Source organism: Homo sapiens, chromosome 19 (genome assembly GCF_000001405.40).
Source record: "Homo sapiens chromosome 19, GRCh38.p14 Primary Assembly".
Taxonomy (NCBI): Eukaryota; Metazoa; Chordata; class Mammalia; order Primates; family Hominidae; genus Homo; species Homo sapiens.
Genome location: NC_000019.10, coordinates 32,389,773 through 32,415,443, shown reverse-complemented (window position 1 = coordinate 32,415,443; position 25,671 = coordinate 32,389,773). Strand labels below are relative to the sequence as shown.

Sequence of the window (25,671 nt, the reverse complement as noted above, 5' to 3'; positions counted from 1 at the left end):
AGCCAGGCTGAACTACTGCCAACGCTTCACACACCAGGCTCTCTTGCGTCTTGAATTTCCTGCACTTGTCCCTCTTCTAGGACACTCATCTTTCCTCCCCAACTTGCCTGGTTAACTCTTACTCATCCTTCAGGTCTACTTAACCATCATTTCCTCTAGAAAAGCCTCCCTGATCTTCCAAAATGAGGTTAGGCTTCCACTCCTATGTGCTCCCACAGTGCTCTCTATCTCACCCCATCCTAGCACCGAGTTGGGATGTCCTGTAATTGTCTGGATACTGACCTGTATCCTTCTCAAGAGTGTAAGTTCCTTGGGGGCATGGCCTTATCTTACTCAGTGATACTGCTACCACTAAGCACAGTGCCTGCTGGCATACTGTAGGTGCTTAATATATATTTACTCAATTCACTTACTATACTGGAAAATCTGCTGGTAAATTCAGAAATCTTTGTTATTCCTTCCATGTTCTCTGCAGTGTTGAACTCAATGTTACCCACAGAACAGGTGCTCAGTAAATACTAGGTAAAACTAGAACTTCCTTAACCCAGTGAAAGTAAAGAGAGAAAAACCAAGGGTGTTCAAGTTTCTTGATGATGGGGTGTATTTATTTAAGGAAAGTAGGAAGGCTGGTTACAAGTTTTAAATTAAAGAGCTACACTTAATAGTTTATAATTAAGTTATATGATCTCTTTCAACATGTCTCCTTGCTATACGGTTGTTAGCATTCAATTTGGGCTATCTGCTCACACAGAGATATTTCAGCCTTTTTTCAAAATACTTATGTTAATATATACGCACTACATGGTTTAATTCTAGGGAATCGCTTTACAAGCTTTCTTTTTTTTTTTTTGAGATGAAATCTCACTTTGTCACCCAGGCTGGAGTGCAGTGGCATGATCTCAGCTCACTGCAACCTCTGCCTCCTGAGTTCAAGCAATTCTCCTGCCTCAGCCTCCTGAGTAGCTGGAAATACAGGCATGTGCCACCATGCCTGGCTAATTTCTTTTGTTTGTTTGTTTTTTTTTTTTGGAGACAGAGTCTGTCACCCAGGCTGGAGTGCAGTGGTGCGATCACGGCTCACTGCAAGCTCCGCCTCCCAGGTTCACGCCATTCTCTTGCCTCAGCCTCCCGAGTAGCTGGGACTACAGGTGCCCGCCACCATGCCCGGGTAATTTTTTTGTATTTTTAGTACAGACGGGATTTCACCGTGTTAGCCAGGATGGTCTCAATTTCCTAACCTCGTGATCCGCCCGCCACGGCCTCCCAAAGTGCGGGCATTAAAGGTGTGAGCCACTGCGCCCGGCCCTCTTCTTTTGTATCTTTAGTAGAGACGGGGTTTCACCATGTTGGCCAGGCTGGTCTCAAACTCCTGACCTCAAGTGATCCACCACGCCCTGCCAGCACTCCATTTTAAAGAGATAGGTGGGCATAGCGGCTCACACCTATAATCCCAATATTTTGGGAGGCCAACGCAGGAGGATTGCTTGAGTCCAGGAGTTTGAGAACAGCCTGGGCAACATAGTAGGCCCATCTCTACAAAAAATTAAATAATTAGCTGGGAACAGTGACGTGCACCTGTGGTCCCAGCTACTCGGGAGGCTAAGGTGAGAGTAATGCTTCAATTCAGCCCAGAGTTTGGGGGCTGCAGCGAGCTGTAATTGTGCCATTGCACTCCAGCCTGGGGACAGAGAAAGACCCTGCCCGCCCCCGCTCCTCCCAAAAAAAGATATATAAACGAGTAAAATTCTTCTGACAAGAAGAACTACCTACTGTCACTGAAAGATAAGTATTATTCTTCTTTGAGGGGAACATCACACTCTGGGGACTGTTGTGGGGTGGGGGGAGGGGGAGGGATAGCATAGGGAGATATACCTAATGCTAGATGACGAGTTAGTGGGTGCAGCGCACCAGCATGGCACATGTATACATATGTAACTAACCTGCACATTGTGCACATGTACCCTAAAACTTAAAGTATAATAATAATTAAAAAAAAAAAGAATTATTCTTCTTTGGTACTATGATAATTTGTATAAAGATATATATACTGTACCCATAAAGTAACACAGCAAGTTTTAAAAATAAACACACTAGAGGTCATTCTTATAAATTAGATTTGTCATCAAAGTAATATCCTTTCGAGGCTCATTTCAGTAAGAGAATCAAAGCTCAAAATGTTTTGGAAAACTTTCTTTGGAAAATGTCTTCAGATCCTTCATCAGTCACTTCTTTCGAACATTCTTATAGATACACATCTTTGGCTTTGAAGGTGTTTGTTTATTTTTACAAGCAACTAGTCATTAGACACCACAGTTTAGGTTAAAGATCATGACATATTAGATTAAAATGTAAGGTATATTTGGATGCAAATTTCCACATGTAAGTTATATACGAGTTCTGAAAACAATGCCAAGAGGAGTTCTAGAAATGTTGAAAAAGAGAGAGAGAAAGAAAACAAGGAAACGTGTTTAAAGAGTCACAGACCACCCCCTCAACTTTTTTCTTTTTTTTTTTGATAAAGAGTATTGCTCTGTTGCCCAGGCTGGAGTGCAGTGGTGGGATCTCAGCTCACTGCAACCTCTTCCTCCCGAGTTCAAGTGATTCTTGTGCCTCAGCCTCCTGAGTAGCTGAGATTACAGGTGTGTGTCACCATGCCCGGCTAATTTTTGTATTTTTAGTAGAGATAGGGTTCCACCATGTTGGCCAGGCTGGTCTTGAACTCCTGACTTCAAGTGATCTGCCCGCCTCGACCTCCCAAAGTGCTGGGATTACAGGCGTGACGCCCGGCTAACCCTCCTGAAAATCTGATTAAAATTACAGTTCCTTTCCCTGGAAACATATGGCTTCCCCATCGCCCTATGCCCTGCAAAACCACTTGCACAGAGTATTAGATAGTCATGAACATGCTGAGGACCCTCTGTGGAGCCACATTTAGACCCCATGATTTAAAGCAGTGGCTTTTTTATTTCCTTTTCTGTTTTTTTTTTTTCCTGTTGTAGCCAACAAGAAAAAAAAGAAAAGGAAGTACCTTGTATACTGTGACCCAGTTTGTGCATATATATATATATATAAAATTAAAAGTTTCACAAAACAATCCTCAACCCTACTAGATGTGATAGTATTCTTTCTTTTTGATTTCATTAAGAAAAATGTTACTCATGACCTACTGCACTAATTTCACAATCTATAACTTGAAAAATACTAATTTAGAATAACTGCTAAATAAATGGAATAAGTTAATGAAAAAGAAAAAACTCACTTGATTATAAAAATTCTGGGCTGGGTGCTATGGCTCATTCTCATATTTTGGAAGACCAGGGCAGTAGGATCGCTTGAGCCCAGGAGTTCGAGACCAGCATGGGCAACAAAGTGAGACCCTGTCTCTACAAAAAAATCAAATTTAGCTTGGTGAGGTGGTGCATGCCTGGGGTCCCAGTGACACAGGAAGCTTAGGCAGGATACTCACTTGAGCCCAGGAGGTTGAGGCTGCAGTGACCCATGTTTGCACCACTGCATTCTAGCCTGGGTGACAGAGCAATACCCTATCTCAAAAAATTAAAATGAAAAATAAAGATTCTGGCTGGACGCAGTGGCTCACGCCTGTAATCCCAGCACTTTGGGAGGCTGAGACAGGCAGATCACAAGGTCAGGAGTTCGAGATCAGCCTGGTCAATATGCTGAAACCCCGTCTCTAGTAAAAATACAAAAATTAGCTGGGTGTGGTGGCACGCACCTATAGTCCCAGCTACTTGGGAGGCTAAGCCAGAAGAATCACCTGAACCTGCGAGGCAGAGGTTGTAGTGAGCCAAGATTGCGCCACCGCACTCCAGCCTGGGTGACAGAGTGAGACTCCATCTCAAAAATAAATAAATAATAAAGAAAAATTTAAAAAAAGATTCTAATATGTTATTTTAAAATAATAAACACAAAAGTTATTTCACTCTATAGTCCAACCTTTCTAGAGATTGGATTCTTTATGGCAAAACTGTGTTGCCTTGGTCATTCATCCACATGGCTTACTACTGGAGATCCCACTGAGTGAATGATACAATGGTCAAAGAAACTCCATACCTTAATATTAGAAAACCATAAATCATTTTCATGTAACGTGGCAAGGTAGACAGATGTAAGAAGTCCAATGCAAAGGGCAATGGTTCCACCAATTGTCAATGACAAAATCTTCCATAATCTTCTACTGGTACAACCTTTTGGAAAAATGGAACAGATAAATAACTAAGTCAGTAAAAAAATCAGAATGTAATAGTTCTACTTCAGATTATCAAGTAAGCTAAGTCTAGCTGCCTGTCACTGGGAAAGCTTTTCCTGTCTCCAGCGGAGGGTCCTTTCTGATTCCACAGACCTGTTTTCATTCTATTACAACTGTTACCCCGTATCTAACTGTCCATGTGTCCATTCTGCCAACTACAACGTGAGCTTCTTGAAGACAAATACATTATCTTATTCATGTTTAATACTGAGGGCCTCTGTCCGGCACAGTTTAACAACCGTAATTTAACTATGAAGTCTGTTAAATGGATGACTAAATGTGTTACGTGTCTAGGACGTAATCGATCTTTTAGATAATCTAGGTACAATTGGTGGCTTATTCTTTAAAAGCTATTTTAAAAACTTGATTACCTAAAAAATAATTATTGTTTTTTGAGACAGGATCTTGTTCTGTTGCCCAAGATGGAATGCAGTAGTGCAATCTCGGTTCACTGCAACCTCTGCCTCCTAGGTTCAAGCAATTCTCCCACCTCAGCCTCCTGAGTAGCTGGGACTACAGGCACATGCCACCATGCCTGGCTAATTTTTGTATTTTTAGTAGATACAGGGTTTCACCATGTTGGCCAGGCTGGTCTTGAACTCCTGACCTCAAGTGATTCACCCACCCAAGCTGGGATCCTAAAGTGCTGGGATTACGGGCATGAGCCACTGCACCTGGCCGATTACCTAAAACTTTTTTTTTAAACCCACAGGTTTTGCAGGAATGCTCTGGGGGGAAAAACCCACAGAATAAATAATCCAACATAACTCAAGTTAAAGGACATATAAACTAGGCAAAATATGGATAGCACATATAAGAAAGCTTAAATACCCTTAACATAAGATGAATACTTTCAGGACAATTTATTTTATTTCAGGACAATTTATTGTCCTGTCAAGATGAATACTGCAGTAGGAAAAAGATTAAGGACATGAACAGGCAATGTACAATAGAAAAAAGTGGCCAATAATAATAACAGACTGAAGATGTTTAAATTCATTAATGTTAAAGAAATGCAAATCAAAACTGTGAGTTATACTTAAATCTTGGCCAATTTGACAGCTTTCAAAATGCTAATACTGTTTTGGTAAGGGTATAAAAAATAGACATCTTCAAACATTGCTGCTAGAAGAATAAATTGGTGCCTCTCTGGAATGCAACATGGCAGCAGTGAGTAAAAGCCACCAAAATGAGCATCCCATTTGGCCAGTAATTCCCAATCTAGGCATGTACCCTGCTGTGGTTTGACTATTCGGCCCCTCCAAATCTCATGATGAAATGTGATTCCCAATGTTGGAGGTGGGGCCTAATGGGAGGTGGTGTGGTGATGGAACCAGAGCCCTTATAAACAGGTTGGTGAGATTCTAGCAGTACTGAGTTTTCATTCTGTTAGTCCTAGGGGAGCTGGTTGGTTAAAAAAGAGCCTGACATCCTGTGTTCCCTGGAAATTGCTTCTACTCTGGTCATGTGATCTCTACACACTGGCTCCCCTAAGTCTTCTGCCACGACTGGAAGCTTCCTGAGGTCTCACTAGAGGCAGATGCTGGTGCCATGCTTCTCATACAGTCTGCAGAACCCTGAGGCAAAGAAACCTCTTTTCTTTATAAATCACCTAGCCTCAAGTATTCCTTTATAGCAACAGAAATGGACTAAGACATGCCCCAAGGAAATAAAGTTTTAAACAAACATATGGCCACAAGGAAATTGATCACAGTTCTGTCTGTATTAGCAAATGGTAAGAAAACCTTTCACTTCTACAGTGGCAGCTATAAAAATACTTTACATAGATGATATTTCAAAAATACGTTAACTGGCTTATGACATGTTCATAACATAATAAGAGAAAAATAGCAAGCTACAAAACAGCACGTGGATCCCAATTTTGCAAAACTGTATACGAATGCTTATGGGTATACATGTGCAGAATATGACATTAAGACAGCAAGACAGTGCCACTGGTGTTAGTTTCAGGATGGGAGTATATTTCTTTTTCTTTGCATTGTTTAAGGTGTTCAGAAAGTACTATTATCCAAAACGTGTTAATCACTCGCTAATGGCTGAGCCAGGTGTCATGACCTCCCATTACAGATTACTTTTGTTAAACTGTTTCCCTGAATTGCTTTACTAGCCTGGCTGGTAAGAATTAACATGGCTGTAAATAATGTAAATTCTGTCAGATATCCAAAATGGTTAATGGGTATGAAGATTTTCATGTTAACTTTTAAAATCCTGACCATGCTTTAGTTACAAAAGCTACTCAGGAAGCAAGAAGTTGGTAATTAATGCTATCTGATGCATCACTTAGCAAGTCTTTACCATTATACAAACAACTGACCAAGTTCTGATTACTTTTCCCACCAATAAAAGAAAAAAAAAAAAAAGCAAAAGAAAACTTCAGGAATTTGACTAATTATAAAGAATTTTTAAAAAATGTTGATCCACCTTTCACTACCTTAATGGAAACTCACCCAAGGTAAGGTTGCCTGGTGTAAATAGTATACACGACCAGAAAAATTAGAGAGAGACTAAAATCTGGGGTGTGGGTGGGGGGACCATTACTCTAGAGAGTCAAAGGATGAGATTGGAAGAACCGTAAGTTAATGAACAGACAGCTGACAAACACTTCTAATCAAAGCTCTTTCATCTTTTGTCAAATCATAACTGTAAAATCAATCTAATCAAATTGCAATTAGAATATCAGGGTACTACAACAAGTTTCAATTGTTAGGTCCCACCAAATTTTTATCCTATTGGAGAGTGACATTTTAATATGCAGAAATAAAAGCAACCCAAATTGCTGCTTTAGTTTAAATCACCTACCAGATGGCAATTTATTTTCCAACTTCACATTTTCTTCTTGGGCTGGAAAGTCTTCAGAAACTTCTGTGGCTCTTATTTCTCTTCTTTGCCGGATGGACATCATGATGTCAGACTTACATGCATTGTTCTCCAAATCACTCCTAGATAGCAATAAACAGGCCATCAACGTCAGTGCCTTCTCCCCAACACACCCCGTGCTCATCCATGCTGAAATGCCTTTACTTATGCCATTTTCCCTCTATTAGCATGCCCTCCCTTTTTTTTTCTTCCCCCCAAGACAGGGTCTCACTGTCACTCAGGCTGGAGTGCAGCGGCACCATCACGGCTCACTGTAGCCTCTACTTCCACAGGCTCAGGTGATCCACCTCAGCCTCCCGAGTATCTGGACTACAGGCATGTGCTACTACACCTGGCTAATTATTTTTTGTAAAGATGGGGTCTCCCTATCTTGCCCAGGCTGGTACTGAACTCCTGGCCTCATGCGATCCTCCCCGCCTTGGACTCCCAAAGTGCTAGGATTACATGAATGAGCCATTGTGCCCAGCCTGCCCTCGATCTTGCCATCTAAATCGTTGCTGGCCTTCAAAGCTACACTCAAAACACAATTCAAATATTTATTCAACTCAATCATATTTATTCATGAAGCATGTGCTCTACAGCAGGCCCTGCCAGGAGTCAGGAATACAGGTAAGCAACACAAACGAGCCACTGCTTTTCTTCCAGAACATCTTGGGACATTCCAGTTCCGGCTGATCTTCTCCCTCCCTGAGCCATAGCAGTTACCACGCAATGCGTCACGTAACTACACAGTTGTATATTATTTTCTACTTCCATAGGCGGTAGTAGGTCTTCAGTACCTCCCACAGAAGTGGCCACGTGGGAGATACTCCATAGTAAATGTGTTGACAACCGGATTTTGAAGAATTAAAATATTGTTTTGTCTCAGGTACCTGAATTTTAACACCAGTGTTCTATAAAACAATTCACACTGGCAGCTTCAGGAATACGCCTCAGTGGTGATGACTGCGGGGGTGTGCCAATCAGGGCAGCTGCTATCCCAGGGAGCGTCGGTGGGAGTAATGGGTGGGGGGGAGCAGGAGCCTGGTTTGGCAGCAGCAAGTGGGAGGCGGGGGAGTGGTGGCAGTGAGTAAGCGGGTTCCAGTCCTCCAGAACATCTTGCTTCACTCCTCTGAATAATGAACAGCCTCTTACTAATTATTTCTTAAATGTGACTAGTAGCCTGACATGATTGTTTCCACAGTTTATTAATTCCTAAGGGTAACTTGCTCTACAGAACAAACCAACTAACATTATACAATTCATGTATTCATTCATACCAAAAAAAAAAAAAAAAGCAGGAAGCCAGATTTAAGTACTGTGCTTTCAAGCACTGGAAATGGAGAATCTGGAACAGAGAGGGAGAAGAGGAGTGTTTAACAAAGTCCTACAGCCACAGATGGGCTTATCCCCCATGTGACCTCATCCTAGAGTCCTCCCTAAGTGTGAGAGGACTTTTTTAAACAATTCATATATTCTAATATGTTAAGGCAGAAAACCAACACATATTTAAGTACCAATTATGTGTCAGGCACTGCAACAGTCCCATGAACTAAGAAAAAAAGTTCCTCCATCAGATCAAAAGGAATGCCATTGTAAACAACTGAAAAGGGACCAGAAGCGATTCTTTATTAATAAGGACGACTAGCGCTAGCCGGGCGAGGCGGCTCATGTAATCCCAGCGCTTTGGGAGGTTGAGGCAGGAGGATGACTTCAGACCATGAGTTTGAGACCAGCCTGGGGAACAGAGCGAGACCCTATCTATACAATAAAATAGCCAGGCTCGGTGGTGCATGCCTGTGGTCCCAGCTACTCCAGAGGCTGAGGTGGGAGAATCGCTTGAGCCCAAGAGTTCGAGGTTGCAGTGAGCCGTGATAACGCCACTGCACTCCAGCCTGGGCGAGACAGCGAGACCCCTGTCTCTAAAAAATAAAAATAAAAAAGCCTAGCGCTCTAGTGAGCATCCCCTGGACGAGGCAGGCACCGGGTCCGCTTACCTACGCGCCACGCCCCTGCACACCTGGCGTCCCCATCAGGTAGGTCTCCAAGGACAGGGGCAGCCGGGAAGTTCAGGCACGCGCCCCAGCTCTCCCAAGACCGCGAGCGGCCGCCGGGGTCGCAGCCCAGGCCCTGCCTCGCCGCACGGCCGACGAGCAGAAGCCGCTCCGCAAACTTGGTCCTTCCGGAGCCCAGCCCGGCCCGCGTCCCGGCAGACACTCCCGCGCTCCGCCCCTCCCGACGCCCCGACGCCGCGGCCGCGCCCCCCGACTGCGCCACGCGGCGGGGAGGGGCGGCCCCAGGGGCTCGGGGCTGTAGCCGAGGGTTCCGCCGGCGCCCGCCCGCCCTCTCGGTAGACCCTCGCCCGCGCGTCCCGGCGCGCCGCCACAGACCTGCGGCCTCAGCCGTCCTCACGCGCGGCTCCGGGAGGGGAAGGAGGCCGACGGGGCTAGGCGGGAACGGGGCCGCGCCACGGGCCGCAGCGCGCCGCGGGTACAAGGAGGGCAGAACCGCCGCGGAGCTTTGTGGAAATGAGGGGCTGGGGGGCGTCAACAGCCCCGGGGAGGGGGCGCGCCGGAGAGGCCGGGCGGCTGCCCCCGCGCCCATAGGCCCCGGGAGCTGTTCGTCAACACTAGGCCCCGCCTCCTCCCGCGGTTCCCCGCCTCGTCTCGTGCTGCGCTGGCCGGAAGGAAGCGGCACACTTCCGCTTGCCTGGTCCGCATTGAGTCCGGTCTGTTCCGGAGACTCTGAGCGCGGCCGCGGAGCTGCAGTGGCGGGGAGTGGGGTGCGGATCTTGTGTTTGCGCACGCAGTCGCCGGCCACCTCAGGCCGGAGCTAGAGATACGGCTCGGGATAGGAGGGCCCGGCGGCTCTGAGGCAGGTTCGCCTCGAGCCGCACGGCCCGGAGCAGCGGCTCCGCGGTGGTCCCCGGGGCTTGAGAGGGGTGCGGGCCTGGGAGCCCCTGAGGGCCTGATTTACGGAACTCCCCCTCCTTCCTCCTTTCTGCCGTTCCCTGCTCTGTGGCGGATGCGCAGGGATCAGTAGGGACGGCAGCAGTAGGGCCACTCGGGCCTGCCCCGCTTCCCGCATTGCCCGGTTTGGCGCGCCGCCTCCGGGCCTTGGCAAAGCCCCAGCGCCCGATTGTCACTGACCAGTGCTTGGAAGTCCTTTACCGACTGCCCGTCAGCGTCCCGCGGAGAGGATTTTGCGTCTCCAAAGACGCCCCTCTTCCGAAAACAGGCTCCTCTGTGTTCTCAGTCGGGTATATTTTTCTGTCTCCAAACTAGATTGGCAGCCGTTTTTTGAGAGCAGGTACTGACTGTGCTTTATTTCTAGATACTTTTCTTAGTCACACCACGGAAAACACTAGGTGGAACCTTTTTTAAAATTATTTTTTACAGGTGAGGCTCTCAGTCTGTCGCCCAGGCTGGAGTGCAGTGGTGCTATCACGGCTCACTGCAACCTCGGCCTCCTGGGCGCAAGCGATCCTCCCGCCTCAGCCTCCGGAGTAGCTGGGACCACAGGCTCGCACTACTATGCCCAGCTAATTTTTAAATTTTTCGTAGAGATGGGGGTCTTGCTTTGTCGTCCAGGCTGGAGTGCAGTGGTGTGATCGTAGCTCACTGCAACCTTAGTCCCCTGTGCCCAAGTGACCCTGCTTCCTCAGCCTCCTGAGTAGCTGAGATTCATTTTAATTTTTATAGTGATGGGGTCTCGTTGTGTTGACCAGTCTGGTCTAAAACTCCTGAGTTCAAGCAGGCCTCCTGCCTCAGCTTCTCAAAATGTTGGGATTACAGGCTTTAGCCACTGCAGCGGGCCCATCAAACGTTGTATTTGTCAGTACATAATTTACATGTTAATTGATTTTTGTTAAAGGGATGGCCATCTGGGACCTCCACCCGTGAAAAGGCGGCTCATTGGTCTGACTCCAACACTAAATTACGCCATCCAGGAAGCCTTTCCTAGTCACCTCTGTTGGAGATCGTCCTCCTTTGTGTGTCGGTTGTTAGTAAAGAGCACACGTTCTGTGGAAAGATGTTGAGGTATCTGCTGGATGGCTTTGATAGAAACAAATGTCAGCTGTTTTTTCAGATGGCATTTGTCTTGTTTCAGCCTGGTTGTTGGTAGCTTTTCTGTCGCCTGGCTTGAGGGCAAGGACTGTATGTTTATTTTTCACGTTAAGATGCCTTTATGTGCATGTGTCTGTTTCATGAATACATAGGTGAATTGAGTTCCCCTTAAATAGGATTTCCCTCTTATTTTATAGGTTTTTTTTTTTCTCTCAAGTTGTTTCACTCTGGGGGAAATGTGACCATTGTGAAATATCATCGCTTAGTTAAAAAGAAAGTAGAATTCAGCAGTAGCTGCTTTTTTTAATACTATGAAAAGACATTCCTAAGCAAGATGAAGCTTTGAGACTTTTCCTAAGTAGGACCTACTGCTGAGAGTAAGTCTTGGGGAGAATAAGCCAATTAAGAATGAGTCTTTGGTTCTGATAAAGTAACCATGGAGGTGATGGATAATGAGTGTAGGTCCTTGCTCACACTTCTGGCCATATGAGCCCGGAGCCAGGGAGGTACTATAAAAGGAATGGGCTCCTGTAATGGACTGTGACTGCAGTGGTGGTATATAGCAAGACTTCCGGTTTGCAGTAGGTTTAGAAGCCTAAATAGTCTCCCTGGTTGTCTCTGCCAGGGCCACAAATAGTTGTGCTGTGCATCTCAAAAGTGTGGTCTGGGGATCTGCAGCGTCACTGTCACCATCACTTGGGAGGTTGTTAAGAAATGCATGTTATCAGGCCCTACCCCACGCCTACTCAATTTAGAATCTGTAGGGCTAGGGGACCACTAATCTTTAAGAAGTTGATATGGTTAGGCTTTATGTCCACACCCAAATCTCATCTTGAATTGTAATTCCCATAATCCCCACCTTTCAAGGGAGAGACCAGGTGGAGGTAATTGAATTATGGAGGCAGCTTCCCCCATGCTGTTCTCATGATAGTGAGTTCTCACAAGATGTGATGGTTTTATAAGGGGATCTTGCCTCTTCGCTCAGCACTTCTTCCTGCCTCCTTGTGAGGAAAGTGCCTTGCTTCCCCCTTTGCCTTCTGCCATGTTTGTAAGTTTTCTGAGGCTTCCCCAGCCATGCTGAACTGTGAGTCAATTAAACTTCTTTCCTTTATAAATTACCCAGTCTTGGGCATTCTTTGTAGCAGTATCCTTTATAGCAGTATGTATAGCTGTATGGACTAGTACAGAAGTTTTCCAGATAATTCTGTGCTCGGAAAAGTTTGGGAACCACAGCAGAACCTTGTTACTCAACATGTGGTCTGTGGGCTGTGCAGCATGGGCATCACCTGGGGTCTTCTGAGAAAAGCCAGGTCTCAGGTCCTACCCAAGACCTGTGTAGCCAAAATCTGCATTTTAATATGACCCCCAGGTCATTTATGTGTACATCACACTTTGAGAAGCACTGCACCAGAAATCTTTTAACACTGTTCATTACATCCATCCCATGGAAGTATCTTGTCTTGGGATCCCGAGGGTGTGAGTTCTTCCGTCTTACTGGCTTTTTCCTGTCTGATACATGATGTCCATTTTAAAAATTTTATTTATTTTAACTTTTTGAGGTAGAGTCTAACTTTGTCACCCAGGCTGGTGTGCAGTGGGGTGATTTCGGCTCACTGCAACCTCCGTCTCCCGGATTGAAACGATTCTCCTGTCTCAGCCTCCTGAGTAGCTGGCATCACGTGCTGGCCACCACGCCCGGTTAATTTTTGTATGTTTAGTAGAGACAGAGCTTCACCATGTTGGCCAGGCTGGTCTCAAACTTCTGATCTCAAGTCATCCACCTGCCTTGGCCTCCCAAAGTGCTGGGATTACAGGTGTCCTCCACTGCGCCCAGCCCAGTGTTCATTTTTCAATTGTTTGACTTAGTATAAACACTCTCCATCATTCCTGCCTTCTGTGACAACAGACTGTGCGTGTTTCCTCTGTCTACCTTTCAGGCATTCCTTTTAAGTTTCATGCAGCTACTCCTCCTCCCTCCTCCCTTCTCTTTCTCTTCTTTCTTCTTTTCTTCTTTCTTCCTCTTCCTTCTTCTTCCTCTTCCTCCTGTTCTTCCTCCTCCTCCTCTCTTCTTTCTTCTTCTCCTCCCTTCTCCCTTTTTGGAAAGAGGACTTACTGTGTCATCCAGCCTAGAGTGCAGTGGCTGAATCATGGCTCAGTGCAGCCTTGCTCTCAAAGGCTCAAGCAATCCTCCCATCTCATCTTCCAGAATAGCTAGGTTACAGGCATGCACCACCATGCCTGACTAATTTTTTAAAAATTTTTTTGTAAAGATTGGGGGTGGCAGGGGGTCTCTCTGTTGCCCAGGCTGGTCTCAAACTCCTGGGCTGCAGCGATCCTCTTGCCTCAGCCTTCCAAATTGTTGGGATTACAGGCATGAGCCACCATGCCTGGCCTCCTCTTCCTCTTAAAAATCAATGATTCTGTGGCCCGTGGATCTGATTTCCACTGATACTCTGATAACTCCTGTTTTTATGTCCAGGTGTATCTCCTGGTCTCCAGGTGCCATATGTCCACTGCCTATTGGACATTTCCATGTGTGTAAACACCTCAAACTCAACATGTTAAACCTTTTTCTAATCCCCACACTTGCGGTTCCTTCTGTGTGCTCCATTTACCTTATTGCTCAAATCAAGAGCCTAGAAGCCATCCTTGATTCCTCTCTATTGTGTAATCCACACATCCAATCATCCATTGAGTCCTGTTGGCATTTATCTCGTAAATACCTCAGATCTTGTTCACTTTGCTCATCTCTGTTGCCACCACCGTAGTCCATTTACCTGTATGTAATAACCATAGTGATCTTACTAAAATATAAATCCCTTGGAGGCGTTTTGGCTTTATTATAAAAATTAAGCTCCATGACACAGCTTGTAAGGACTGCCACGAATCAGGCTCTGTTTCCCTCTTCAACCTCTCCTTCACTTTCTATTCACATAAACCTCTGTCAGAGGTTTGTCACGTGGCTTATAAAAAGTCTTAAACCCTCTTTAATTGACTAGGTACTCTTCAGCCTTTAGACCTCAGCTTACACGATCTGTGCTGCCTCATGTTTATCCTCATACAGTATCCGGTTCCACAGAATCATGGTTTTTCTTTGTGAACAACAGAATACCGTGGAAGTGACAGTGTGGGACTTCTGAGGCTAAGTCATAAAAGACATCCCAGTTTCAGCCTTAGCCTCTCTTGGATTGCTCACTTAGCGGGGATGCCAGCCACCATGTAGTGAGGACACTCAAACTGCCTGTAGAGAAGGCCACGTAGGCAACAGCCTGCACCACCTTGGCAGCCATGGGAGTGAGCCATCTTGGAAGTATTAGGTTGGTGGGACATTAAAAGTAATGGCAAAAACCAAGATTACTTTTGCACCAACCTAATAGATCGGCCAGCTACAGGTCAGCCTTCAGATGGCGGCATAAGAGATCTTGGGCCAGAAGTGCCCATCTATGCCACTCCCAAGTATTTGACACACAGAGACTATGAGGATAATAAATGTACATTGTTTTTTTAAGCCACTAAGTTTTGGGGGTAATTTTGTACAATGATAGATAACCAATACAATATCCACCGTATGTATGTGTTACGATTTATTTATTCCCATCTAGTTGGACATCTAGGTTGTTTCTAGTTTTATGCTATTTCAGGGAATGCTGTAAGAACATACTTATATTTATGTAACTCTTTAGGATGTATTTCTGGAAACAGGGTTGTTGGAATTCATATTCTTTTTTTTTTTTTTGAGACAGAGTCTCACTCTGTCGCCCAAGCTAGAGTGCAGTGGCGCAATCTTGTCTCACTGCAACCTCTGCCTCCCAGGTTCAAGCGATTCTCCTGCCTCAGCCTCCTGAGAAGCTTGGATTACAGGCACCCGCCATCATGCCGGGCTAATTTTTGTCTTTTTAGTAGAGATGGGATTTCACCATGTTGGCTAGGCTGGTCTTGAACTCCTGACCTCAAGTGATCCACCCGCCTCGGCCTCCCAAAGTGCTGGGATTACAGTTGTGAGCCACCATGCCCAGCCCTAGAACTCATATTCTAAATTGTGATAAACATTGGTAAACTACATTCCAAAAAGGTTAAAGATTCTATTGTTTTTCTCTTCCACCAGTGGGTATTATGACACTTATTTCTCCATGCCATTGCCAACAATTAGTTTTTAAATCTTTGCCAATCTTAGGTGACAAATAATACATGATTAGTGTGCATTCTTTATTAATGAGGTGAAGACAATATATCAGGAGTTTATTGGCTATTTGCATTTCTTTTGTATAATTTGTCTTTTTGTGTTCTTTCACCATCTATTTAATCTTGCTGTGACGGGATTATTTATAGATTATGAGTTTTTTTTGTTTTTGTTTTCGAGACAGGGTCTTGCTCTGTTGCCCAGACTGGAGTGCAGTGGCGCCATCTCAGCTGACTGCAGATTCAACCTTCTGAGCTCACGAAATCCTCCCATCTCAACCTCCTGAGTAGCTGGGACCACAGGTGTGTGCCTGGCTAATTTAAAACAATTTTTTGTAGAGATGGGGTTTTGCCATGTTGCCCAGGCTAGTCTTGAACCCCTGAGCTCAAGGAATCTGCCCACCTCGGCCTCCCAAAGTGCTGGGATTACAGGTGTGAGCCACTGCGCCTGGCCGATTATGGGTATTTATTAATCTGTTGTCATATATGCTGCAGATAGTTTCTCATTATTGTGTATCTGGTATGATGTCTTTTGCTATGCAGGGATTTTCCATTTTTATATTGTCAAATTTCTTTTATACCTTCTGGGTTTTTCCATCATGCTTAGAAAAACCTTCCCCATCTCAAGATTGTAAATGTTTTTTAATTCTTTCTGCTAGTATTTAAAAATATTATAACTTTTTAATATGGTGTGGGAGAGACTTGACAATTTTTTTTTAAATTAGATAGTTGATTATTTCACCATCATCCTTACTCTACTGATTTAAATTACCTGTACCACATACTGAATTCCCATATGTATATGGCTTATTTATAAGCTCACTCTTTTTTTTTTTTTTTTTTTCTGGAGACAGGGTCTTGCCCTGTGGCCCAGGCTGGAGTGCAGTGGCATGATCTCGGCTCACTGCAACTTCCACTTCCTGAGCTCAAGCAGTTCTCCCACCTCCGCCTCCCAAGTAGCTGGGACTATAGGTGGGACTATAGCCACCACGCCTGGCTAATTTTTGTATTATAAGATGACACTTATGTTTAAATGATTTTAAAAAGTAATTAGTCTTGAAACAGTTCTACATGTTTTTAATTATTTTATAGAATGTTTTCATATTGAGAGGGCAATTGACCCTTCATTACACTTCTTTTAACCACATATTTTGGCAATTTCTGCATATTTATTTGCTCAGATAAACTTTATAATCATTTACTAAGTTCTAAAACAGAATCCATGGAAATTTTTACTAGAATTATATAAAGTGTTTAGAAATGTTTGGGAGAAATGAGATATTTACAATGCTGAGTATTCCCTTACAGAAACATGTATGGGGCAGTTTGGTATACTACATATATTTTTTTCCAACAGTACTTTCATCCAATTTAGTTGACTTTTCAAGTATCTTGGTAAAAGTCAATGCAATGGTCGCCAAACTTCTTTTATTTATTTATTTATTTATTTATTTATTTATTTATTTATTTATTGAGACAGGATTTCACTCTGTTTCCCAAACTGGAGTGCAGTGGCGCGATCTTGGCTCTCTGCAGCCTTGACCTCCTGGGTTCTAGCGATTCTCATGCCTCAGCCTCCTGAGTAGCTGGGACTACAGGCGTGTACCACCACACCTGACTAATTTTTGTACTTCCAGTAGAGATGGGGCTTCACCATGTTGGCCAGGCTGGTCTTGAGCTCCTAGCTTCAAGTGATCTGCCTGCCTTGGTCTCCCCAAAGTGCTGGGATTACAGACGTGAGCCAGTGCGCCCAGCCTCCAAACTTTTATCAGAAAAAAATTTTGTCTTCTCTTTCTGTATACATATAAACATTTTTTTTTTTAAATGAGGCAAGGTCTCACCATGTTGCCTAGGCTAGTCTTGAACTTTTGAGCTCAAGTGATCCTCCAGCCTTGGCCTACCAAAATGTTGGGATTACAGGCATGAGGCACCACACCCAGCCCATATAAACATATTTTTAAGCAAAGTGACTACACGTGGAAATCCTAGTGTTTTCTGCATACATTCCATTGGATTGTTTTACACACACTGTGTATGACTCATGTCAGAGACCACAGAGGTGGGGCCTGTCTATGGCAGTCCTCTGAGATTGGCTTGGCATGCGTGGGTCTTAGGGAACCCAGGCCAAGTGTCAGGGATGAGCTTCCTCTATGCTCGCATCATTCCAGAGTCCCACAGTCACTGACATCACATTGGATTCCTCTTTCCCTCCTTTAAAATGTTTGTCAATAGATGGCTTCTCCTCTGTGAGTCTTCATGTGGCAGGCCAGGTCTCACTAATGCAGGCCTCCATGACAACCGTTTCAGTACTGACTGAGTGGCGAAGTTAAATATTAAAAGCTGATAGAGCCAGTGCCCTATACAAATGCTGGAATGTAACAAAAGCCCACCAAGAGTTCTGCCCTGGCCTTTCCTGGGCCTTGAAGCATGACAAGATAATGAGGAATTTTCCACAGGACCCGTTTGGGATTATACAGGTTTTATTGGGGGTCTGAAGAAACTCCCCAGGCCTCCACAGGCAAGTTTATTGGGGTCTGAAGGAACTCCCCAAACCATGATTTAGCAGGAAACAAGATAAGGGTAATCACCCCAGCACCTGGACCCATTTAGATTAAATAAATTTACTGAGGCTCCAGGGGAAGGTCTTCAGGACTCAGATCTTAGTTAGAGATCAGAAAAAGTCGACCACTTATGTCTGTAGATGAATGCACACTTACACACAGACATATAGCTTAGAAGGTATATAAGCTCTGGAACACTGTGATTTTGAGTTGGTCTGGGGATAATTTCTAGGCCTTCTCCCTGTATCCAGTTACAGAAATAAACTCCCTCCTTTCCCAGTTCATCTGCGTCTCATTATTGGGCTGTGAGAATAAGCAGCCTGACCCTCGATTTGGTCCGGGAACATTCAGAAAAAGCATTATGAAATATTGTTTGTGTTTTTTCTCTTCCTTTGTTCAACTTTATATTAACTAGATTTGTAGTGCTTTAAAATAGTGAAATTTTTAGACAGATTAGCGTAGGTGCACAAATCCAAGGATTCTATAAAATGTAAAGTTCACAAAGTATTTACATATGGAATTTTTGTTTCATTTTCTTTTAAATTATTATTGTTACTATTTTTGAGACAGAGTTTCTCTCTTGTCATCCATTGCACTCTTGTCATCAGACCGAGTGCAATGATGCGATCTCAGCTCACTGCAACCTCCATCTCCTGAGTTCAAGTGATTCTCCTGCCTCAGCCTCCCAAGTAGCTGGGATTACAGGCATGCACCACCACGCCTCACTAACTTTTCTGTGTTTTTATTAGAGACAGGGTTTCACCATGTTGGTCAGTCTAGTCTCAAACTCCTGACCACAGGTGATCCACGTACTTTGGCCTCCCAAATTGTTGATATTACAGGTGTGAGCCCCTGCACCCGGTTAATTTTTAGTAGAGGTGGGGTTTCAGTATGTCGCCCAGGTTGGTCTCAAACTTCTGGCCTCAAGCAATCCTCCTGCCTTGGCATCCCCCAGCGCTGGTATCACAGGGGTGAGTCACTGTGTCTGGCCTCATTTTCTTCTTTAACACCTGCTTCTCTGCTTACCTCTACTTGTCTGTACTTTCTTCATTTCCATGGTTACCACCTACACTTTTTTCCATTTCCATGGTTAGAATAACTGTTGTGTATTTTTGAATGAGGACACGAATAGGTAAGGTATTCAGTTAAAGCAGATGATGATGTTTTATTGCATAAGCTTTTGCCACATGTGCTGATTCTCTAGATGTTAGTCCGAGAATCAGTGTCCTTGGCTGGTCCTTCTGGTTTGTTTCCTTGGACTGCTGTAATGTCATTTCCTGCAAAACAGGCATGTACACATGTGTCCACAAATCTCAGCAGCAGATTTTTCCCACTAATAGATGCCAAGGCATATTGTCAGGCCTGGGACTTTTTTTTTTTTTTTTTTTTCCCTGTTGTAAGCAGGACTTTCAGCCAGAAAAGGATGTGTTTCTAACACTCTCGAATTCAGACATTTTATCATGCCTTAAATTATGGCTAATCTAGTGCAGGGCTGGATTTTCACTAACACTTATCAAGTGCTCCCCACAAACCTTCCTGAGTCAACTGGTGGACAGAGATGAGCTAACCCAAAGGACTCCTTATGCATAAAGTCCACAGGTTTGATTGCAACTGTCCAGGTCCAAAAGCTCTGAGATGGAAACTATCCCAACAGCTAGATGGAGTCTAGCTGTACTGAGTTGATTTTGTTGTACTTTAGTGATTCTCCACGTGATAGAGGTAACAAATCCAGCCTCCTCTCACAGGTTTCTCATCACAATCTCTTGACCCTTTTGGATGTTCAGTCAAGATACCAGGAAATGAGGTTTGAAATAAATAGCTTTTCCTGTAACTATCTTCATTAAACCAGTTCATTTAAATACAAGGGTGAATTCCCTATGGCAATATGACCCCCCAGTGGGAAAAAACTGGTCCCTGGGGGTTGAAAAAAATTACTATTTTTATGTATAAAGCATAGATGTACAGACTTGGCGCTGTGTCTCATGCCTGTAATCCAGCATTTTGGGAGGCCGAGGTGGGCAGATCACCTGTGGTCAGGAGTTAGAGACCACCCTGGTCAACATGGCAAAACCCCGTCTCTACTAAAAATGCAAAAATTATCCAGGTGTGGTGGCACGTGCCTGTAGATGCAGCTACTCAGGAGGCTGAGGCAAGAGAGTTGCTTAAACCTGGAGGCGGAGGTTGTGGTGAGCCAATGTCACGCCACTGCACTCCAGCCTGGGTGACAGAGCAAGACTCCGTCCCAAAATAAAGAAAAAAGGAAAAAGCATAGATACACTTACAGTACCTAGAAAGATAAACAATACAGTACTTCTGTGTCATGGGTGGGGAAATTAATTGGGAAAAATGCCTTGAAGGGCTTAGGAGGATGGTAATGAAATAAAGGTGGAAACACCGATGTAGACTAGGGTTTGGTGGTTGGATCCTTGCAGAATCCTGGTGGTTTACTTTTCCCTTTAATGTATTTCTCTATATGTAAATGGTGGGGCAGACTGGAAATAAGAGCTGAGGGTTCAGTACTGACCCAAAAGACAGTGGCTGAAATGATGTTTATTTCTGTCATGTAAGCAGTCTGGTTCCACAATGTCAGGGACCCAGGGTCCTTCCAACAAAAATGTCACAGTTGTTTTTTAAAAAATTTTTCTTTTGTGGCAAAAAAACATAAAATTTACCTTCTTAACCTTTTTTTTTTTTTTTTTTGAGACAAGGTCTTGCTCTGTTGCCCAGGCTGTGATCTCGGCTCACTGAAGCCTCCATCTCCTGGGTTCAAGCGATTCTTGTGCCTCAGCCTCCCAAGTGTCTGAGATTACAGGCGCCCGCCACCACATCTGGCTAATTTTTGTATTTTTAGTAGTGATGGGGTTTCACCATGTTGGCCAGGCTGGTCTCAAACTCCTGACCTCAAGTGATCTGCCCGCCTTGGCCTCCCAAAGTGATGGGATTGCCACTGCGCCTGCCTGATCTTAACTATTTATAAATGTCCAGTTCAGTGGTATTACATTCATAATGTTGTGCAACCATCACCAGCATATACCTCCAAAACTCTTCATCTTCTAAGACTGAAACTCTGTGCCCATTAGACCACCATACTGTTTCCACAGTGATTGTACCATTTTACATTCTCACCAATGGTGCACAAGGGTACCAGTGTCTCCACATCTTTACCAACACTTTATTATTTTCTGCTTTTTTATGTTTTGATAGTAGTCACCCTAATGGGTATGAGGTGGTATCTCATTGCAGTTTTGATTTCCATTTCCTTAATGATTAGTGATGTTGAGCATCTTTCCATGTACTTGTTGGCCATCTGTAGATCTTCTTTAGAGAAATGTCTAGTCAAGTCCTTTGCCCGTTTTTGAATTGGGTTTTGTTGTTGAGTTTTAGGAGTTCTGTCCTGTGCTTGTTCTCATAGTCAGTGATCATAACATTTACATAACAGGTGGCAGAACAGAGAAAGAAGGGGAGGTGGAACTCCCCTTAATTTTGAGGGCACACCCAGAAGTTTCTTTCATTTCTTTTGGGGGTAACTTCAGCTGATGTATTCTATTGTTTTATAAAACAAAACAATTTTATATTTGCATTACAATATGTTTAGAGAAAAGATAGCCATCAAATACAGTGAATGTTTCAAGGACAACTGGTATATTTTCTCAGCCAACTTTGAACTCTGTGATCCTAGATTCATTTAATCTCTTTTTTAGAAAAATATTTTTTATTTTTATTTTTAGAGATAGTATCTCACTCTGTTGCCCAGGCTGGAGTGCAGTGGTGCAATTACAGCTCATTGTAGCCTTGACCTTCTGGGCTCAAGCAATCTTCCCACCTCAGCCTCCTGAGTAGTTGGGGGTGTTACCTGGAAGGGCAGAGTCCTCAGCTCTTAGTCTTCCTTGGGAGAAGGAATTTGGCCACGAGGCAGTTTAGCCAAAAAAGAGAGAATTGATTGAAGGAAAATAGAGAGCAGAGAGTTTATTTAGAGAGACAGAATACTCTGAAAGATGAGGCAGAGCCAGCTGTGGAGACAGAATGAGCCAGCAGCCACCCCGAGAATTCTGCGGTGGGTTTTAATGATGTCAGATTTTTTTCTGGAAGTTCCCACCTCTGTCTTAAGTCCCTGCCTTTTTTCTTTGTCTAGTTTCCCTGCTTCTGCCTTAAGTCCCTGCCTTTATCCCTGCCGCATTCCCTCCCAGGCTCACGGGACCCTCTCTTACTACTAGTTGGTGGGTATGTGTGGCCGGTGTTGGGTATGAACTCTACCAAATGGCTGCATTGCTCATTGCCGCCACCCCAGGAGGTTGTATAGAGGTCAGATCTATATTTATTGCACCTGGTATCTCTTAGGAATTTCTGCTTTGCCCTCTTTCCCTCCTTATCAGCACACAGCTAGTGACATTCTGAGAGGTTAACTGAAGAGTGGGTGATTACTAGGAGTCTTAAGGGGTGCTCCTTTCTGCATAGGTATTTACCCTCCTCCTTGCTCACACTGGACTCATTGCCCACCCCCTCCACCATTAGAGATGTTAATAATTAGCAAATTTTGGGTGGTCCTTGGGCATGAGGCTTCCCAGACCTTCCTTTTCTCAGGGGCTCCCCCTCCTGCTCATGTCTAGCTGTTTGCCTACTGTAACAGGACTACAGGCGTGTGTCACCACACCCGGCTAATGTTTGTATTTTTCTGTAGAGATGGGGTTTCACCATGTTGCCCAGGCTGGTCTTGAACTCCTGGCCTCAAGTGATTCTCCCTCCTTGGCCTCCCAAAGTACTGCGATTACAGGCATGAGACACTGTGCCTGGCGTGATATCTTCAGAAGTTTCATGTATCACTACTCATATCCCATGAACCATAACTTGGTCACATGGCTTCATGTAGCTACAAGGAAGCCTGGGAAATACAGCCTACCTGGGCAGCTTTGTGCCCAGCTAAAAATTCTGTGATCATAGAAGAATGGATGTTGAGGAACAACTGGCAGTACCTGCCATTACTCATGTGAAAAGTACATTCTTTTGAAGGTTAAGGTTGATGTGTATGGCGTCAGGCACACCATTAGTCCCTCCCTTCCTTCCTTCCTTCCTCCCTCCCTCTCTCCCTCCCCCTTTCCCTTCCTTCCTTTCCTTCCTCCCTCCCCTTCCTCCCCTTCCTCCTTCCTTCCCTTTCTTCCTTTTCTTTCTTCTCACTCTTCTTTTCCTTTCTTCCTCCCTCCCTCCCTTTCCCTCTCTTTTTTCTTTTTCTTTTCTTTCTTCTTTCTTTTTCCTTCTTTCTTTCCCTTCCCCTCCCCTCCCCTGCCCTCCCCTCCCCTCGTCTGCCTGCCTGCCTGCCTTCCTTTCTTCCTTCCTTCCTTCCTCTCCCTCCCCCTTCTTTCCTCCCTGCCTCCCTTCCTCCCTCCTTCCTTTCCTTTTTTTTTTTCTCTTTCTCTTTCTTTTCTTTCATGTTGCTCTATCAACCAGGGTGGTGTGTAGTGGTGCAATCACAGTTCACTACAGGCTCAAACGATCCTCCCACCTCAGCCTCCCGAGTAACTGGGACTACACCAGGCTAATTTTTTAATTTTTATTTTTGTAGAGATGGGGTTTCACCATGTTGCCCAGGCTGGTATGGAACGCCAGGCCTCAAGCGATCCTCCTGCCTTTGCCTCCCAAAATGCTGGGATTACAGTGAGCCACTGTACTTGGCCTGATGTCTTCTTGAATTTCAAAAACTCTTACGGTATTTAATACAATGTATAGGTGCAGCTGACTTGTCTGTTTACAGTAGATAGGTGTTACTGTTTTAGGGTTTTAATTAGCGATCATGCCCTTTGTATCTCATGTCCATATGTATTCTTGTTAGTTTTGTAAGGTATAACCTAGTTAGGAATATGGCTATGAAGCTCTTGTTCCACTTTATCTTTTTTGTTGAGACAGAATCTCACGCACTCTGTTGCCCAGGTTGGAGTGCAGCGGTGCAATCTCGGCTGACTGCAACCTCTGCCTCCTGAGTTTAAGCAATTCTCCTGCCTCAGCCTCCCGAGTAGCTGGGATTACAGGTGCCCACCACCATGCCTGGCTAATTTTTGTATTTTTAGTAGGGATGGGGTTTCACCATGTTAGCCAGACTGGTCTGAAACTCCTGACCTAAAATGATCCACCCGCCTTGGCCTCCCAAAGTGCTGGGATTACAGGTGTGAGCCACTGCGCCATGCCTTGTTCCACTTTATCTTTCAAGAGTAAGTTTCATCGTGGATTATGGTTAAAGACAAGTGCTGATTTGGTTTTCCTACCTGATCACGAGGCCACTCGATAGAACTAGTAAGCTATGCCTTGGGCCTGCAGGATGGCACCTGACTTGAAGATAGCACCTGACTTGAAGATGGCACCTGACTAGCATTTGGACTGGTTTGCAGGTATACTTTTATTTTTATTTACTTTTTATTTTTTGAGATGGAGTGTCACTCTTGTTGCCCAGGCTGGAGTGTAGTGGCGCAAGCTTGGCTCACTGCAACCTCCGCCTCCCGGGTTCAAATGATTCTCCTGCCTCAGCCTTCCAAGTAGCTGGGATTAGAGGTGCATGCTACCACGCCCGGCAATTCCTCAAAGATCTAGAACCAGAAATACCATTTGATGCAGTAGTACCCATTACTGGGTATATACCCAACGGAATATAAATCATTCTATCACAAAGATACATGCATGTGTATGTTCATTGCAGAACTATTCACAATAGCAAAGACATGAAATCCAAATGCCCATCAGTGATAGACTGAAAAAATGTGGTACATATACACCATGGAATACGATACAGACATAAAGAGGAACAAGATTATGTCCTTTGCAGGGACATGGATGAAGCTGGAAGCCATTATCCTCAGCAAACTAGCGCAGGAACAGAAAACCATACACCACATGTTCTCACTTATAAGTGGGAGCTGATCAGTGAGGACACATAGACACAGGGAGGGGAACATCACACACTGGGGCCTGTGGTGGGGTGGGGTGGGAGGAGGGAGAGCATCAGGATAAATAGCTAATGCATGCAGGGCTTAATACCTAGGTGATGGGTTGATAGGTGCAGCAAACCACCATGGCACATGTTTACCTATGTAACAAGTCTGCACATGCTGCACATGTACCCTGGAACTTTAAAAAACAACTGTTAGTACACTGAAGTTTTTGTCTGCATTTGCAGGCTGAGCACAGGGTTGCTCCAGGTGGGCCCAAATGCTGAAGAGCCTCATGTTAGAGTTTTTCACCTCTGCGATGGAACTGTGGTGGACTCCAGTATCATCATTCCAGGGAGGCATAGCCGCACCAACTGTGTTCCCAGGTTTCACATGGAGAAGGGTTTTAGAAAGTGCAGATAGCCTTGAAACCATTGGTTTCCTACCACTGTTTATTTCAGCATAACTTTTTTTGTGTGGAATGCTAGCTCTGGAAGAGCAGAAATAAATACAGCTTAAGCTTTGAACCATATCCTGCTGTACTTTTTCTCATAAGCTGGAAATAGAATTTTCTAACACCGTTTGTGGTTGGAAATACTGAATTTAAATGGGACTGCAGATATAAACAAAAAGAACAAGATGTGGATTGATGTGCCTATTTCAGTAAAACACAGCCACATTATTTCTGAAATATGGATACTAAAGATGACAAGTAGAAAAAAAATTGGAGATGTGCACAGTTGTGACAATAAGCCTTTAAACGTCACTAGTAGGTGCTAATAAAAGTCCTGAAAAATGAATGTTTTATT

At 44.4% G+C, this 25,671-nt stretch overlaps 1 protein-coding gene and 1 long non-coding RNA gene across 14 annotated transcripts in view, besides 2 other annotated features; one reads left to right on the top strand and one right to left on the bottom strand.

Moving 5' to 3' along the window:
• DPY19L3 (dpy-19 like C-mannosyltransferase 3) overlaps positions 1–9,674 on the bottom strand; it is an 80,121-nt gene extending 70,447 nt beyond the window's left edge. For 7 of the 13 annotated variants that reach the window (XR_007066627.1, XR_007066628.1, NM_001172774.2 and 4 more), the window contains exons 1-3: positions 9,535–9,674; positions 7,088–7,227; positions 4,072–4,205 (exon numbers count right to left, since the gene is read on the bottom strand). Coding sequence is in view for 11 of the 13 variants with exons in the window: in NM_001172774.2 (NP_001166245.1) it covers positions 4,072–4,205; positions 7,088–7,190 (237 nt within the window). In the remaining 2 variants the exon portion in view is untranslated. Of the gene's footprint in view, positions 1–4,071; positions 4,206–7,087; positions 7,228–9,141; positions 9,320–9,534 lie in introns of those variants that run through there. The other 6 variants (NM_207325.3, XM_017026366.1, XM_047438251.1 and 3 more) reach the window with 2 other exon arrangements.
• Positions 9,293–10,042: a silencer, noted in NCBI's record as "silent region_10481". NCBI's record gives its function as "represses an Ori minimal core promoter by ATAC-STARR-seq in GM12878 lymphoblastoid cells {active_cell/tissue: GM12878}" and the evidence as "EXISTENCE:reporter gene assay evidence [ECO:0000049][PMID:35858748]".
• On the top strand, positions 9,905–25,394 carry DPY19L3-DT (DPY19L3 divergent transcript). The gene is made up of 3 exons (NR_046201.1): positions 9,905–10,453; positions 15,576–15,693; positions 25,111–25,394. It is a non-coding gene; the product is annotated as a DPY19L3 divergent transcript (long non-coding RNA).
• Positions 10,073–10,122: a silencer, noted in NCBI's record as "silent region_10480". NCBI's record gives its function as "represses an Ori minimal core promoter by ATAC-STARR-seq in GM12878 lymphoblastoid cells {active_cell/tissue: GM12878}" and the evidence as "EXISTENCE:reporter gene assay evidence [ECO:0000049][PMID:35858748]".
• Positions 25,395–25,671: the final 277 nt, after the last annotated feature.